This window comes from Homo sapiens, chromosome 1, assembly GCF_000001405.40.
Source record: "Homo sapiens chromosome 1, GRCh38.p14 Primary Assembly".
Taxonomy (NCBI): Eukaryota; Metazoa; Chordata; class Mammalia; order Primates; family Hominidae; genus Homo; species Homo sapiens.
In genome coordinates, this window is record NC_000001.11 from 182,429,742 (window position 1) to 182,430,991 (window position 1,250).

Consider the following 1,250-nt stretch of genomic DNA (forward strand, 5'->3'; position numbering starts at 1 on the left):
AAAAGAAAGGAGATATACTCTATCCTGAGAAGGAAAATCCAATGAGGAGGGTAAATGGAGACTTATTTAAAAAGCAAATAAATATGATGTTGGGGACATAGGGGCAAAGAGAAAGAGAATGATGAATGAGACCCAGTCCCTGCCCTGGAGGGGCAAACAGTAGATGTGCATGAGTGCTCAAGGGGGCAGGTGAGCCTTGTGACCCTGGAATGAAGAATGACTTGGAGGTGCGGGTCAGAAGAGCTTTAGGATGAGGTGATGTTGGACCTGATCTGGAATATTCCAGGGTATGGGCTTGTTTTGAATCCCAACTCTACTGCTTACAAGTTGTACGACCCTGAACAAGTTACTTAAATTCTCAAAACCTCAGTTTCTTGAACTGTAAAATGAAAATAATTATTTGCCTTCTTAATAGCCACGTGCCTCTTCTTTCTTCTTATAGAACCCCCATTTTGGTTTTTTGTTTTGTTTTGTTTTGTTTTGAGACAGGGTTACCCATTCTAGAGTGCAGTAGAACAATCTTGGCTCACTGCAGCCTTGAACTCCTAGGCTCAAGCGATCCTCCCACCTCAGCCTCCCAAGTAGCTGGGACTACAAGTGTGTGCCACCATGGTTCGCTATTTTTTAAAAAATTTTTTTCGAGATGGGGTCTCATTCTGTTGCCCAGGCTTGTCTGAAACCCCTGGCCTCAAGCTATCGTCTTGTCTTGGGATCCCAAAATGCAGGGATTACACGGTGCCTGGCTTTTTTTTTTTTTTTTTTTTTTTTTGGTATCTATTCTCCTTCCTCTCCTGTGCATCAGAGGAGGTGGCCTGGATGCCTGCGTGGCTGCAGAGACTGAAGCAGATGGAGCCCAGTCAATCATGGGGACTCCCCTTTCCTCTCATGGTGATACATTGAGGTGTGGGTGGGAAATCCAGGTCTAGTTAGGGAGATGTGAGAAGGATTCTGCTGCAGGGTCTCTGGATAAAGTCCTCCCTTGTCATAAATGTGAAGAATATAAAGAAATATACTATCTAGTATATAGATACAGATATATATTTATAGAATAAAGCTCTCTTTTCTGCCCCGGACGTCTGTGAGGATGAGGTAACCGGAAGTGTTGCAGCCATCTTGAAACCACAATGGTTGCTAATCTGAAGATAAGGTCAATGAGAATGACAGAGAGAAAGCCTCGAAGTAACCTGAATCCCTGATGACTTTGTTCAGCCACTGAATTTAGCAGCTCAGGCTCTGTACTACCTCTAGAG

The 1,250-nt window shown here is 43.8% G+C and overlaps 1 annotated feature.

Annotated features, from left to right (window-relative positions):
• Nucleotides 1,201-1,250: a silencer, noted in NCBI's record as "silent region_1619". NCBI's record gives its function as "represses an Ori minimal core promoter by ATAC-STARR-seq in GM12878 lymphoblastoid cells {active_cell/tissue: GM12878}" and the evidence as "EXISTENCE:reporter gene assay evidence [ECO:0000049][PMID:35858748]".